A 14,085-nucleotide genomic window follows, 5' to 3' on the forward strand; every position below is an offset into this window, starting at 1 on the left:
AACTTTTCATTTTGTTGATATTTTGTGTTGCTTTCTTCATTTCAATTTATTTCTGCTCTAATATTTATTATTTCTTCTACTAACTTTGGGTTCAGTTTGCTCTTACTGCTCCAGTTCTTGAAGATGCATTGTTACGTTGGTTTATTTGAAGCTTTTCTTCTTTTCTGATATAGGTACTTATAGCTATACACTTCCTTCTTAGTATCACTGTACCCCATAGGTTTTAATATGTTGTGTTTTCATTATTGTCTGTTTCAAGAAAATTTTCAGTGTTCTTCTTAATCTCTTCATTGACCCACTGGTCATTCAGGAGCATATTGTTTAACTTCCATGTGTTTGTATAGCTTCCAAAATTCCTCATTATTGATTTCTAATTTTATTCCATTGTGGTCAGAGAAAATGCTTGATATGATTTCAATTTTTTGAATGTTTTAAGACTTGTTTTATACCTAACTTATGGTCTATCCTTGAGAATGATCCATGTGCTGAGGAATAGAATGTGTATTCTGCAGCCACTGGATGAAATGTTCTGTAAGTATCTATTAGGACCATTTATTTGGTCTATGATGCAGATTAAGTCTGATATATCTTTGTTGATTTTCTGTGTGGAAGATCTGTCCAGTGCTGAAAGTGAGGTGTTGAAGTCTCCAGCTATTATTGTATTGGGGTCTGTCTCTCTCCTTAGCTCCAATAATATTTGCTTTATACATCTGGGTCCTCCAGTGTTAGGTGCATGCATATTTACAAGTGTTATATCTTCTTGCTGAATTGACTCCTTTATCATTATATAGTGACCTTCTTTGTCTCTTATGGCTTTTGTCTTCAGATCTATTTTATCTGATATAAGTAATGCAATTCCTGCTCTTTTTTGGTTTTCATTTGCATGAAATATCTTTTTCCATCCCTTTATTTTCAGTCTATATGTGGCTTTATAGGTGAAGTGTTTTTCTTGTAGGCAACAGATCATTGTGTCTTGTTTTTATTTTTTTTAATCCATTCAGCCACTCAATACCTTTTGATTGAAGAGTTTAGTCCATTCACATTCAGTGTTATTATTGATATGCAATAACTTACTCCTGCCATTTTATTTGTTTCCTGGTTGTTTTGTGGCCTTTTATTCCTCCTTTCTTTCCTTCCTTTCTTTCTTTCAGTGAAGATAATTTCCTCTGGTGGCAGGTTTAATTTCTTGCTTATTTTTTGTATATCTGTTATATGCTTTTTGATTTGAGGTTACTATGAGGCTTGTAACTACTATCTTATAACCCATTACTTTAAGCTGATAATAACACTGTTTACATAAACAAACATTTAGGCAAAAACTAATAAAAACTCTACACCTTAACTTCATCCCCCAGCTTTTTAACTTTTTGTTGTTTCTATTTATATCTTACTGTACTATGTCTTGAAAAGTTGTTGTAGTCATTATTTTTATTGGTTCATCATTTAGTCTTTCTACTTGAGTAGTTTACACATGCCAGTTACAGTATTATAATAGTCTGTGTTTTTCTGTGTACTTACTATTACCAGTGAGTTTTGTACCTTCAGATGATTTCTTTTGCTCATCAACATCATTTTCTTTCTGATTAAAGTACCCCCTTTAGCATTTCTTGTAGGACTGGTATGGTGTTCATGAAATCCCATGGATTTTATTTTCCCAGGAAAGTCTTTATTTCTCCTCATGGTTCAAGGATAGTTTCACTGGATATATTATTCTAAGGTCATTTTTTTTCCTTTAGCACTTTAAATGTGTCATGCCACTCTCTCCTTGCCTGTAAGGTTTCCACTGAGAAATCTGCTGCCAGACATATTAAAGCTCCATTGTATGTTATTTGTTTCTTTTCCCTTGCTGTTTTTAGGATCCTTTGTTTATCCTTGACCATTGGGAGTTTGACTGTTAAATGCCTTGAGGTAGTCTTTGGGTTAAATCTGCTTGGTGATCTATAATCTTTTTATACTTGAGTATTGATATTTTTGTCTAGGTTTGGGAGGTTTTGGGAAGTTCTCTGTTTTTATCCCTTTGAACAAACTTTCTACCCGCCCCCCACCACCATCTCTTTAGGGCCAATAACTCTTAGATTTTCCCCCTTGAAACTATTATCTAGATCCTGTAGGTGTGCTTCATTCTTTTTTATTCTTTTTTTCTTTTGTCTCTTCTGAGTGTATATTTTCAAACAGCCTGTCTTCAAGCTATTATTTTCTTCTGCTTGATCAATTCTGCTATTAAGAGACTCTGATGCCTTCAGTATGTTGATTGCATTTTTCAACTCCAGAATTTCTGCTTTTCACTTATTTCAATTTCGTTGTTAAATTTATGTGATAGGATTCTAAGTTCCTTCTCTCCATTATCTTGTATTTCTTTGAGTTTCCTCCAAACAGCTATTTTGAATTCTCTGTCTGAAAGGTAACATATCTCTGTCTCTCTGGGATTCGCCCCTGGTACCTTGTTTAGTTTGTTTGCTGAGGTCATGCTTTCCTGGATGACTTGGTGCTTGTGGATGTTTGTTGGTGTCTGGGCATTGAAGAGTTAGGTATTTATTGTAGTCTTCACAGTAGGGCTTGTTTGTAGTCATCCTTCTTGGGAAGGCATTCCAGGTATTCAAATGGGCTTGGATGTTGTGATCTAAGTTTTTGGTCACTGCAGCCATATCTGCATTAGTGGGCCCCTAAATGCAGTAATATTGTAGTTCTTTCATACACATAGAGGTACTGCTTTGGTGGTCTTGGATAATACCCGAAAGAATTATCTGGATTACTGGGCAGAGACTCTTGTTCTTTTTCCTTGTTTTTGCCCAAACAGAATCAGTCTGTCTCTCTCTCTCTATCTCTCTCTGTTGAGCTACCTTATCGGGGGAACCGCCCCCAATATTTCAATGTAGGTTCTTTCTATTTTCCCTAAGTGTCGGCCAGCTGAGAAATAGAGAAAGATTACAAAGAGAGGAATTTTACAGCTTGGCTGCTGGGGGTGACATCACATATTGGTAGGACCGTGATGCCCCGCTGGGCCTCAAACCGTCAAGTTTTTTATTAAGTGTTTTAAAAGGCGAGGGGGTGTAAGAACAGGGAGTAGATCACATGCTTCAAAGGGCAAAAAGGAGAACTACTGATAAGGGTCTATGTTCAGTGGTGCATGTATTGTCTTGATAAACATCTTAAATAACAGAAAACAGGGTTCGAGAGCAGAGAACCGGTCTTACCAGGCCTGGGTCTTTCCCCATCCTAGTAAGCCTCAGGGTACTGCAGGAGACCAGGGCGTATCTCAGTCCTTACCTCAACTGCATAGGACAGACATTCCCAGAGCGGCCGTTTATAGACCTTCCCCCAGGAATGCATTCCTTTCCCAGGGTATTAATATTAATATTCTTTGCTAGGAAAAGAATTTAGTGATATCTCTCCTACTTGCACGTCCATTTATAGGCTCTCTGCAAGAAGAAAAATATGGCTCTTTTTGCCCAACCCTGCAGGCAGTCAGCCCTTACTGTTGTCTTCCCTTGTTCCCTAAAAATCGTGGTTATTCTGTTCTTTTTCAAGGTGCACTGATTTCATATTGTTCAAACACACGTTTTACAATCAATTTGTACACAATTGTCACAATGGTCCTGAGGTGATGTACATCCTCAGTTTACGAAGATAACAGGATTAAGAGATTAAAGACAGGCATAAGAAATTATAAAAGTATTATTTGGGAACTGATAAATGTCCATGAAATCTTCACAATTTATATTCCTCTGCTGCAGCTCCAGCTGGTCCCTCCATTCGGGGTCCCTGACGTCCAGCAACACTACCTGTAGCCGGGGGAGGGGTGACACAAGTACCTCCGTGGCCACCATCACTGGGACTGTGGATGGTCAGACCTGAAGCCAGCACAGCTATGGGTTATGCCAAAGGCCCACTGTAACCACTACCTGCTACTACCTATGTTAGCTGAAGTTCCTAGGGCTCTACAATTAGCAGGCAGTGAAGCCAGCTAGCTTTCTGTCTTTCTCTTCAGGATGGCGAGTTCCTCAGAGCCCCGGGTGGGTTCAGAGATGCTGTTTAGGAGTCAGCAGCAGTAACTCCAGAACCTGGAGTCAGAAACCTTAGAAATCTACCCGGTGCTCTATTCTACTGAGGGTAAGCTAGCACTGAAACCATAAGACGAAGTCCTTTCTAGTCTTCCCTCCTCTTTCACCAGGCAGAGGAGTCTCTCCCCATGTCCATCAACATCACAAGACACTGGGAGTATTGCCATGATTCTGCTGATGTTCACTTAAGACCTAAGGGCTTTGTAGTCAGCTTGTGGTCAATGCTGCCATGCCTGGAATTCACCTTTCAGGGCAGTGGGCTCCCCTCTGGCCCAGGGCCAGAAATGCCATCCAAGAGCCAACTCTGGAATCAGGGACCCGAAGAGCCCACTTGGTTCACTTCCCCACTGTAGTTGAGCTGGCACCTCAGCTATAAGACAAAGTCTCCTTTATTCTTCCCTCTCCTTTTCTTAAACAGATGGAGTCTTTCCTCATAGCCACCCATAGCTGTGAATATGCTGGGTCACACCTGCAGCCAGTATACCTCAGAGTCTCACCCAAGGCCCACAGCATGTATTACCTGGTTACCGCTGCTGATTATTCAGGACCCAAGGGCCCTTTAATCAGCAGGTGATGAATCCTGCCAGGACTGGGTACTTCCCTTTAAGATAGTGGGTTCCCCTCTGGCCCAGGGTATGTCTAGGTATGTTGTCTGGGAGCTAGGGCCTGCAATGGGGGCCTCATGACCCTGCTCAATACTCTATCCTATTGTGGCTGAGCTGGTATCCAAGTTGCAAAACAAGTCTTTACTATTCCCTCTCCTTTCCTCAAGTGGAAGGTGGGGGTGGTGTTGTCCCTTTTGGAGCTGCTAGCTGTATTGCCTGAAGTTGGGGGAGAGGTGATACAAGCACGCCGCATTGGCCACCCTGCCTAGTGTCTCACTAGGTCACATAGCCCCCAAGTCCATTGGCTCTAAGCCCAGCACAGCAAGAGGACTTGCCTAGGAGTTGCAGTGCTTGTGGCCTAGGTTACCTTTCAAGTTTATTTTAAACCTCAGAGCTCTTTAGCCCACGGTGGTGAGGTTTGCCAAAACTGAAGTTCTGACTGCTGGAACGGACGATTCCCCTCTGGCTAAAGCTGATCTAAATGCTCCCTCCATGGGTGTTGGCAGCACTAAGTTTCAAGGCAAAGGCCCATAATTACTGTCCTTTCTCCTTCCACAAATGTACAAATTCTCTCTCAGTGCCACACAGTCACTGCCAGGGGATAGGGGAGGGGTGATGTTGGCAATTCAAGACTGCCTTTCCTACTCTCTTCAACGCCTCTGTCAGCAATATGCAGTTAAAACCAGGTACTGTGATTGTTCGCCTGATTTTTGGTTCTTATGAAGGTGCTTTTTTTGTGTAAATAGTTGTCAAAGTTGGTGTTCCTGTGGGGATGATGATCGGTGGAGGCTTCTATTTGGCTATCTTGCTCTGTCTTCCTCATGTTATTTTCAAAATCCATTTTGATTATGTCGTTTAATTATTGTGTTTATAACATTTATATTTAATGCAATTGTGTTTATATGTTTGGATTTAGATGTGAGAATCTGGAAAATAATAAGTTCTTATATTTGTGTTATTACAAAAATTTTATAAGATCAAACCTATTTAAAGACATGTCATTATGTCACTTAATTTAGAAATTAGAAAGCTTAAATTTTGAAGAGTTTACCCATTGTATATAAAATATAATATTGTACTTAGTTAATTTCTTATAAAATCAGAAGATATATAGCTGCCTTTAAATTAGTATTAACACATTCCAGTGATCAAAGATTCATCTATTTATCGGAAACAGTACATGAATCTTTTAAAATACAATTTTTACACTTTGTAGTCCAGAATTGTAATGTTAAAGACTCTTTAAATCACACTTCAAAACTTTTAGCTCATAATTATAATAACACAACCTATTATTTAAATGCACTCACTCACATTTTAAAAATAAAAAATACAGTGAACAGCATTTTTCTTTTAGATATTTTACTAGATTGTTTGGACTAGAATATAACTAGAATGTGTATGTAGCAATAGACATTTTAAAAACTCAAATAACCTACAATTTTCAAACTGAGAGAAAAAGAAGAACATCAAAAAGAGGAGAAAAGAGCTGGCTTAGGCAACTGTTATCTCTGTAAAGGGCTAATTCTCTTTCTTCTGCAAGGAAAGGAGATAAAATTCGATGCAGAAAAACTCATCTGTACACAAATACACAAAAGAGAGTCACTGCAGTTGATTTAAAAATACTCAGGCCCTTCACAATATTTTAAATAAACTTCTATTGCTGAAACAACTTTCAAGTAAGGGCATAAGGATAATACAGGGAGGTCCCAAATACCCCTTATTTTTCTGTATTGTTAGCATCTTGCATAACCATGGTACATTTGTCAAAACTAAGAAAGTAATAATGGTACACTACTATTAAACTTGAGACTATTCATATTTCAGTAGTTTTTCCACTAATGTCTATTTTCTCTAGGATCCAGTTCAACACAGCACACTGCATTCAGTCATCAATTAAGTTTCCTTAGTTTCCTCTGGTCTGTTACAGTATTTCAATCTTTCCTTGTTCCCCACGACGTTGATAGTTTTGAGGAATACTGATCAGGTGTTTTATAGAATGTCCTTCAATTTTAGTTTGATTTTTTTTTTTTCATGTTTAGACTAGATTGGGTTATAGGTTTTGAGAATACCACAGAGGTGAATTGCCCTTCTCATCACAGTATATTGGGAGTATATGCTATCAACATGACTTGATGATATTAACTTTGACCACCTGGCCAAGACAGTGTTTCCAGGTTTCTGTACTATGAAGTTACTCTCCTCCTCCCTTTCCATACTCTGTTCTTTGGAAGTTAGTCACTAAGTCCAGCCCACACTCAAGGAAGGAGGGAAAATAAGCTCCACCTGATGAAGGGGGACGTATTGTGTTAAGCTGAATAACGGTCCCCCAAATATGTTTACATTCTAATCTCCTGTCATTGTTCTATAGCAAAAGGCAGTTTTTGCAGATGTGATTAAATTGAGGAACTTGAGTAGGAAGAATATCCTGGATTATCTCAGCAGGCCCAATATAATTAATTACAAGGATCCTTGTAAGACGGAGGCAAGGTCAAAAATGACAGAAGGTGATGTGAATACAAAAGCGGAGATTATAGTCATGCGGCCAGAAGCCAAAAAACAACATAAAAGAGGGTGGAAAGCAGAGAAGACAAGATGTGATATAAAAGCCAAATTTTATATGAAGGTACCAAAATTTGATCAGAATCCCAAAATCCTTGAAAATAAACTGTAAATTTGACATATAAGGGTCATTTTTTGTTCCTCAGATTGGCAAAAACTGAAAATCAATTATATCTAGTGATGGTGACTAGGCAGGAATATAAACAGCTGATAGGAATAGAAATTATTCCTTTAGGGAAAGATAATCTGACAACGCATCTTAAAAGTTTAAACAAATTCTTTGATTAAGCAAGTTCAAAAACCTAGTTTTTTTTTTTTTTTTTTTTATAAAGTGTCACTCTGTTGCTCAGTCTGGAGTGCAGTGACATGATCTTAGCTCACTGCAACCTCAAACTCCTGGGTTGAAGCAATCCTCTGCCTCAGTCTCCCTGAGTAGCTAGGGCAACAGGCACGAGCCACCGCACCTGGCTAGTTTTAAATTTTTTTGCAGAGACAGGATCCTGCTATGTTGCTCAGGCTGGTCGCAAACTCCCGGCCTCAAATAATCCTCCCATCTTGGCTTCCCAAAGCGCTAGCATTACAGGTGTGAGCCACTGCGCCCAGCCTAGAAATGTTTCCTAGAAATAAAAGCACAAGTTTGTAAACATAAATGTGGAAGGATGTATATGGTGGCATTAACTTAATGCTGACTTTTTTGTTCTTAATTTGGCACAAAAAGGTGTTTATAAGTGCTCTACTTGTTTCTGAACATTTATTTCTCCTCATAGTTAATTCCTAAACAAATCTTATTCCCTTTACCTACAAAATATGTTCTAGATCTGTTCACTCCTCTCTACCAACATTGTTTTTCCTAGTCAATAAACATAGATCAACCTAATAAAAATTGCATAATACTCTTAATTTTGGATATATCATAAATATGCTACCATTGTTTTTTAAGTCTTTTGCTACTATAATTAACAGTATGAATTACAGTGGAGATTTAATGTTTAACTTCAAAAAGACTCCATAGAGTCTGACGAATGCAAACATATTTACAGTAACTTTTCTTACACTCACTAGATTACTTTGATTTTCGGTTTTATTGGCAAGAGTGATTCGTGAAAACCATGACTAGATGAACATTGGAGGAAACATTCCCAAGCATTAATCACTTAATTTTAGTTTTGTACATTTTTTTCTGTCTAATGTTACCTTTGTTGTAAAATTATCTTTTTTTAAGGAATGCTTTGTAAAGCTTAGTTCTAATATTACAGAATTCATAGTTATGTAATTAATCTCAAAATCACTCACCATTGAAGACCCTTGCTATTTTTATTTCCTATAACACGAAGTCTATTATCTCCTTAATAATTTTTAATTTCCATCCTTAGAACTTCTTCAGCTCTGCTACTTTTTCCTTAAGGCCAGGGTCATAGGCAGCACACTGGTGATAACTCACTGTCTAGAAATATTGCATTTTGTTTACAAAGTTATTTTCTATGTTCAGCATTTTGCTGGCTGCCTTGGGTACAGTACCTCAATTGAATGTCTACACCTGCATATTTGTGGACATTGAAATCATCTACCATTTTTCAGAGACACTACCTTGTGATATAAAAAAACAGAAGCCAAAAAAAAAAAAATCCCAAGGAATTTCTGAAGGAGCCTCTCTTCACTACTCTGCTCTTGTTAGAATAATGAGTAACACTGGTATAACATTCTACAATTTACAAGAATATTTATCTGCTTCATGAAACCTCAAAACAAACCTTTGAGACTATCAGGATCCTAACCACTTTACAGATGAAGATAACTTACATAATAGTTATGGGGTTTCCTGGATCTGACTCCTTTATTCTTCACATTACATTATGTTGCCTTCCCCACAACTAATCAAGGACTCCGTTTTTTCTTTTTTCTTTCTCGAAACCATTTCCTCCATATTAGTTCCCTTTGGAATAGAAGCCTTTTTAAAAGTCCACCTTAGTATATCTTCAGGGAATCACAAATTCACTATGCTATTTATAATTCATGAGTTTCTCTAATGGTATCAAGGCAGCAAATACAGGTGAAGTAATAATTATCCACCTGATAGTACTTAACACACATACCCCGTGTAAAAATACTGCTGGTGTACAGTGTGTGTGTTGGTGACGCCGGAGGAAGTGGCCGTGAACAGGCTTAATGCCGCATTGAGTAACTTCAACCTCATCTTGCTCAGGTTCATATCTCTCCTGAATTTCCCCTGGTAAGCGCAAGATTCAGGATCCGTTCTCACAGTTTTTTGTTTACCAGTTGATGTTGGCTGCATTCAGGAACGCCTTGCTCTCTTAAGCCACAGTGCCTTCCTGGTCTCTTCTTCACAGGGTCTTCCACAATCGCTCTTTTTCCTGGGCACGGTGGTTTGCTGAAAGTCGGGGTGGGGGGCGGGGCGTTCCCAAGTTTCCAGGCCAATTACCTACCTGCCTTAGAGCAATTACGCACTTCTCTCTGGTAGTCCCTGAAATGTTCTAATCATCAGATCGCCCCAGCTTCTCCTGACCGTTTCTTGCTTACGGCTCAGTTCAGACAGTATTTGTTCCGGGACGCTCAGCGGGAGGCGGTTTTTACCGGCTCACTCGAGACCCCAATTCCAGGCGCCCTGCAGCTTCCCTCAGACTCCCCGGGACCGTGTTTGGCCTTCCCATTCGTACGCTGCGGCTGCGCTTTCCTCTCGTAACACCACGCTGGCGAACCTGGAAAGGATCAAATAGTCCCACTCGCCAACCTAGCGCGGCGGGACCGGCCCAAAAGGGCCTTTGCAGCCTGCGCATGCGGACTCGGCGGCCGCCACCGACTCCCCGTCTGCTTCCCTCCGGGCGGCAGCCGCGGTTTGGAGCTTGCTGACAGCTCTGCGACCGGCGGGCGCAGCCTCGTCTCGTGCTTCCACGTTATCCTATCAGGGACGGGGCGGGGCGGCGGCCTCCGCAGCCTATCAGCGCGAACCACGACCCCGGCGAGCCCGGGAGGAAAGCCGCCAGAAAGAAGGCGATTGGATGGCGGCGGCGCTCTGGGGCGTAGCGTCGCCCGGGCCCCGCCCACCGCTGCCTTCCTCTGCTGGGCTCCAGAGCCACTGAGGCCTGAGCGAGAGCCGACGGCGGGCGGGCGCAGCTGCTGCCGGAGCGCCGGCGCGTGCTGGTGGGCCACACACCTTTCCTCCTCTTCACTCGCGAGCCCTCGGACATGGTGGCCCCCGGCTCCGTGACCAGCCGGCTGGGCTCGGTATTCCCCTTCCTGCTAGTCCTGGTGGATCTGCAGTACGAAGGTGAGTCCTGCCCTGCCCCGGCCAGGAAGTGGGCTCCCGGACCAGGCCCCCCGCGCTTTCCCGTCTGCGCCCGGGCGCCTGTCCCGGAGCGGCTCGGGAGGTGGGGCGAGCGCTGGGGGAGCCCGCGGCCTGGCTTGGGCCTGAGCCCGCGCCCGGTTCCGGGTTTGTCTGGGGAAGAATCGAGGGGACTGGCGGGCCGCGGGGCCGGGACAGCGGGTTTGGACTAAGGAACCGGGCCGCAGGAGTCGGAGGAGGCGGGGTGCGGGGGCACCGGGCTACGACTTCAGGAAGTCCTGGGACGCGGAGACTTGGGCAGCCTTTGGGTCCTGGCCTCGCTTGGGACCCTCGCTGGGCGCCTGGGGACACTGTCAGTCATTGGTGCTGGCTGGGAGGAGGCACTAAGGTGGCCAAAAGACTTCCTTCGCTCTGGAGTTCTTGGGTGGGGAAGGAGTGTCATGTCCGGCTGGGAGTTGGAGGGGACAGTGTTGACTATTTAAAAAGTGTGTAACCATCCCCATTAAGATGCACTGTCGTGTAGAGAAATTGTTAGTTTGGTGCAATGAGGAGCCGCTGTTGGAATTCCATCTCCCGGACGGCCAGGCACTGAGTTTGTGGTTTTACAACTCCCAACATGGTGTCATTCAACGTATGGCTGGCATTACTTTTCCAAGTTCGCTGTAAAAAGGTTCCCTTAAAAAGATACGAACGATTAAATTTCACTTCAGTCCTGCAGACTGGAATGTTGGCTACTCCAGAATAGCGAAAATAGAGGGCTGTCCTATCTTAGATGGCAGCGGGGAGGAGTAAGAATTAAAGTTGATAGTGCCGATTTAACGAATGCTTCTGGCGCGGTTACTGTGCGAAATATTCGAGTGTAATGACACATCACATGCACTGATCTATTTTCATCCCCATAAAAAGGGCTAGTTGTCAAGGAGGTCAAATTAAACCTTTGAGTATTCCATTCAAAGGGAGCGAGGAACTAAAAATTGGGAATTGTTTATAGTGAATTCTTCTGAAAGTTCTCAACTTTTTTTTTTAAAGTAGTACTCCCCAGTTTTTAGGTGTCACCCATAGCAATGGGCTTTTGCTTTTGCTTCCCCTGGTAACCATATTTTTTGAACCCCAAATCAGAACACGTAGTGTGGCAACATTGGGACAAAGAATTTGACAGTGAGGCTGCCCCCAGAAAAATCTAGGGGATTGGAATTTGAAGGTCTGTACCACTTTAATATGGGTCATATATTCTAGTTCTTTTGCATTTTCAAAAGCTTCATTCCTCCTGCCCCCGCACCCCACCATCCCTCATCTGTAGTATTTATCTCCAGTTATCATTAATAATTTATTTTGGACACTTAAGAGAAAGTTGCCTATGTTCTGTTTAATGGTGATTTTTTTTTTTAAGTTACAGAGATGCACAATTTTGAATGATTGCTTTTCCCACTACTTTTTAGAATTGCTGTTCTGTATATGAGTCTGTAAGGACTCTTAACTCTTCATTTCCCTCCTGTGGTATTTTCCATAAGAAAACCACATTTGAGAGCTTTTCTGTGTAGGAGGCACTGGTGACATTTCTCAGAGGAGTGCCAGAGTGTCTTCTTTAGGACCATTGTCTGTGTAAAATAGCAGGGACTTAGTACAGGTAACAGAAAAAGGAAAGAAAGGAGCCTTTCTGTAAGCCATATCTTATTCACGAAAGCGTGTGGTATTCATTCCTACTTTACAGACCAGGGAACTGAGGCTCCAAAGGTTTTACTAAAGTTCATTTTGTGTGCACGCTGGAGACAGAAGTTAAGTAGTTGACAACATCATGTGAGTCCAAGCACTTTTAAGTGATGGCAGCTGAGAAAAAAAATCAGCACTTTTTTTTTTTTTTTTTTTTTGTAATTAACAAGAAGGTTATTTCCTGGGAGGTTTAATACAGTGGTTCTCAAACTTGAGTGTGCATCAGAATCGCACATGGAGGGCTTTTTAAAACAGAGTGCTGTACCCCACTTACAGAGTTTGATTCATTAGGTCTTGATGGGACCTGAAATTTTGCGTTTCTAGAAAGACCCTGGATGACCACACTTGAGAACCACTGGTGTAATAAATTATATAGAGGAGTTAAATTAGGTGTCTGCTATGTATTTGACACTGGATTTGGTGATAGGGATATAAAGGTAAGAACTCTGACTTGAATTAGCAAACCGTTAGCCCCTGTTTTCCCAAATAAATTGTGTCTGGATTCACTAATCTCATAGTTCTCTGAAAGGCAAATGGTGCTACTGCTAGGCCTGAGGCTTAATAAAATTGTGTTGTATTAAGGATTTTTGTTAAATAGGTAGGTTTTAGCTGCTCTTGTCACACAAAAAGTAATTATGTGAGATGATAGATATATTAATCTGCTTCACTCTTATTAATCTGCTTCACTATTGTAACCATTTTATGTGTGTATATCTCATAATACTATGTTGTAAACATCAAATATATACAATACAATTCACTTTTAAAAAAAGAAATGAAGGAGAATGGTTATGAGAGAAGTGAATGTGGAACTAAGAGTGGCACAGGATGGGGAAGAGATAACCTAGTGTTTTTCTGATTTTGAAATATTTGCCTTTGTTTTCTTCTAGATTTTTCTGTTAATTGTCATCCAGAGACAGAAAGTATATATCATGAATTGAAAGTTTGAGTCTTTTGGCACCCTCCCTTCTCAAAGGCGTTTGAAAGAGTGAAGTCTAAAGCACTAGATGAGATCGAATTTTTGGAATAGAAAGAAAACTTTAGTAGTATCTGCTTTAGTATTCTCATGTTACAGATAAGGAAGTTATTTCATTTCTTTGCTAATGGTTTGTCCTCTTGGTGACTTGAGTAGCAACACAGCCTGGGAACGAAACCTTTTTTCTCTTATCATAGTTTTATCTCTTTTTCTTCCTTAACATGCTATCTGGACCCAATTTTTCTTTATTTCATTGAGCTGATTAAACCATATATTTTGGCCATGGGGAAAAGAATAGTTGAAAATATATAGTTGAAAATCTATACGTATAAAATATTGTGATAAGTTTTATTTGAACCATGATAAGTTTTATTTGAACCTAACCTATTAAAGGTATGTTTTGTCTTTTCTAGGATTTTCTTGACATTATCTAAATAGGGAAAGAATAAAGTAGCAAAAATGAGTGACTTTAAGTAATTTAAATAAATTAAGTATCATAAAAGGTGGTCACATATTTTCTAGAATTATTTTAAATTCTTTAATAAGATAGGCTGTAGTTAGCAGTAGTATCAAAGTTCCAGTTCTCTTGACATAGTTAGTATTTGCTGAGAAACTGCCTGGAAATGCAGTGGTTTTCATTCTGTGAGGTAGGGGAAGTTGTTCTGGGAGGGGATGCACTGTAGTAATTAGGTTTTATTTTCCCATATGAAGTTAATTAATTGTTGTTAAGTTTAATTTCTACTGCTGTGGTCTCTTTTGATTAGTGTCCTGCAGTTAATCTTTGTTTATATGGAAGTATCATGGGAACCCATTCACCTGCTCTTCAGAACGCAAACATTTCAACCATAGATTTATTTTTCTTTCCATATC

General features: G+C 40.7%; 1 protein-coding gene and 1 long non-coding RNA gene across 3 annotated transcripts in view, besides 7 other annotated features; one reads left to right on the top strand and one right to left on the bottom strand.

Moving 5' to 3' along the window:
* DNAJC3-DT (DNAJC3 divergent transcript) lies at positions 6,012 to 10,102 on the bottom strand. The gene is made up of 2 exons (NR_132117.1): positions 9,029 to 10,102; positions 6,012 to 7,845 (listed from the first exon to the last, which is right to left on the bottom strand). It is a non-coding gene; the product is annotated as a DNAJC3 divergent transcript (long non-coding RNA).
* Positions 9,406 to 10,253: an enhancer, noted in NCBI's record as "H3K27ac hESC enhancer chr13:96328483-96329330 (GRCh37/hg19 assembly coordinates)". NCBI's record gives its function as "activates a minimal SCP1, AML or CMV promoter by ChIP-STARR-seq in naive H9 embryonic stem cells {active_cell/tissue: H9 hESC(naive)}" and the evidence as "EXISTENCE:reporter gene assay evidence [ECO:0000049][PMID:30033119]".
* Positions 9,406 to 11,100: a biological region, named in NCBI's record as "H3K27ac hESC enhancers GRCh37_chr13:96328483-96329330 and GRCh37_chr13:96329331-96330177".
* Positions 9,517 to 9,616: an enhancer, noted in NCBI's record as "active region_7881". NCBI's record gives its function as "activates an Ori minimal core promoter by ATAC-STARR-seq in GM12878 lymphoblastoid cells {active_cell/tissue: GM12878}" and the evidence as "EXISTENCE:reporter gene assay evidence [ECO:0000049][PMID:35858748]".
* Positions 10,137 to 10,376: a silencer, noted in NCBI's record as "silent region_5446". NCBI's record gives its function as "represses an Ori minimal core promoter by ATAC-STARR-seq in GM12878 lymphoblastoid cells {active_cell/tissue: GM12878}" and the evidence as "EXISTENCE:reporter gene assay evidence [ECO:0000049][PMID:35858748]".
* Positions 10,254 to 11,100: an enhancer, noted in NCBI's record as "H3K27ac hESC enhancer chr13:96329331-96330177 (GRCh37/hg19 assembly coordinates)". NCBI's record gives its function as "activates a minimal SCP1, AML or CMV promoter by ChIP-STARR-seq in naive and primed H9 embryonic stem cells {active_cell/tissue: H9 hESC(naive and primed)}" and the evidence as "EXISTENCE:reporter gene assay evidence [ECO:0000049][PMID:30033119]".
* DNAJC3 (DnaJ heat shock protein family (Hsp40) member C3) overlaps positions 10,316 to 14,085 on the top strand; it is a 117,850-nt gene continuing 114,080 nt past the window's right edge. For both annotated transcript variants that reach the window (XM_011521104.3, NM_006260.5), the window contains exon 1: positions 10,316 to 10,514. In XM_011521104.3, coding sequence (XP_011519406.1) covers positions 10,433 to 10,514 — 82 coding nt within the window. In that variant the 5' untranslated portion in view covers positions 10,316 to 10,432. The remainder of the gene's footprint in view (positions 10,515 to 14,085) is intronic.
* Positions 10,447 to 10,496: an enhancer, noted in NCBI's record as "active region_7882". NCBI's record gives its function as "activates an Ori minimal core promoter by ATAC-STARR-seq in GM12878 lymphoblastoid cells {active_cell/tissue: GM12878}" and the evidence as "EXISTENCE:reporter gene assay evidence [ECO:0000049][PMID:35858748]".
* Positions 10,607 to 10,696: a silencer, noted in NCBI's record as "silent region_5447". NCBI's record gives its function as "represses an Ori minimal core promoter by ATAC-STARR-seq in GM12878 lymphoblastoid cells {active_cell/tissue: GM12878}" and the evidence as "EXISTENCE:reporter gene assay evidence [ECO:0000049][PMID:35858748]".

The sequence above is a fragment of the Homo sapiens genome, chromosome 13 (assembly GCF_000001405.40).
Source record: "Homo sapiens chromosome 13, GRCh38.p14 Primary Assembly".
Classification (NCBI taxonomy): domain Eukaryota; kingdom Metazoa; phylum Chordata; class Mammalia; order Primates; family Hominidae; genus Homo; species Homo sapiens.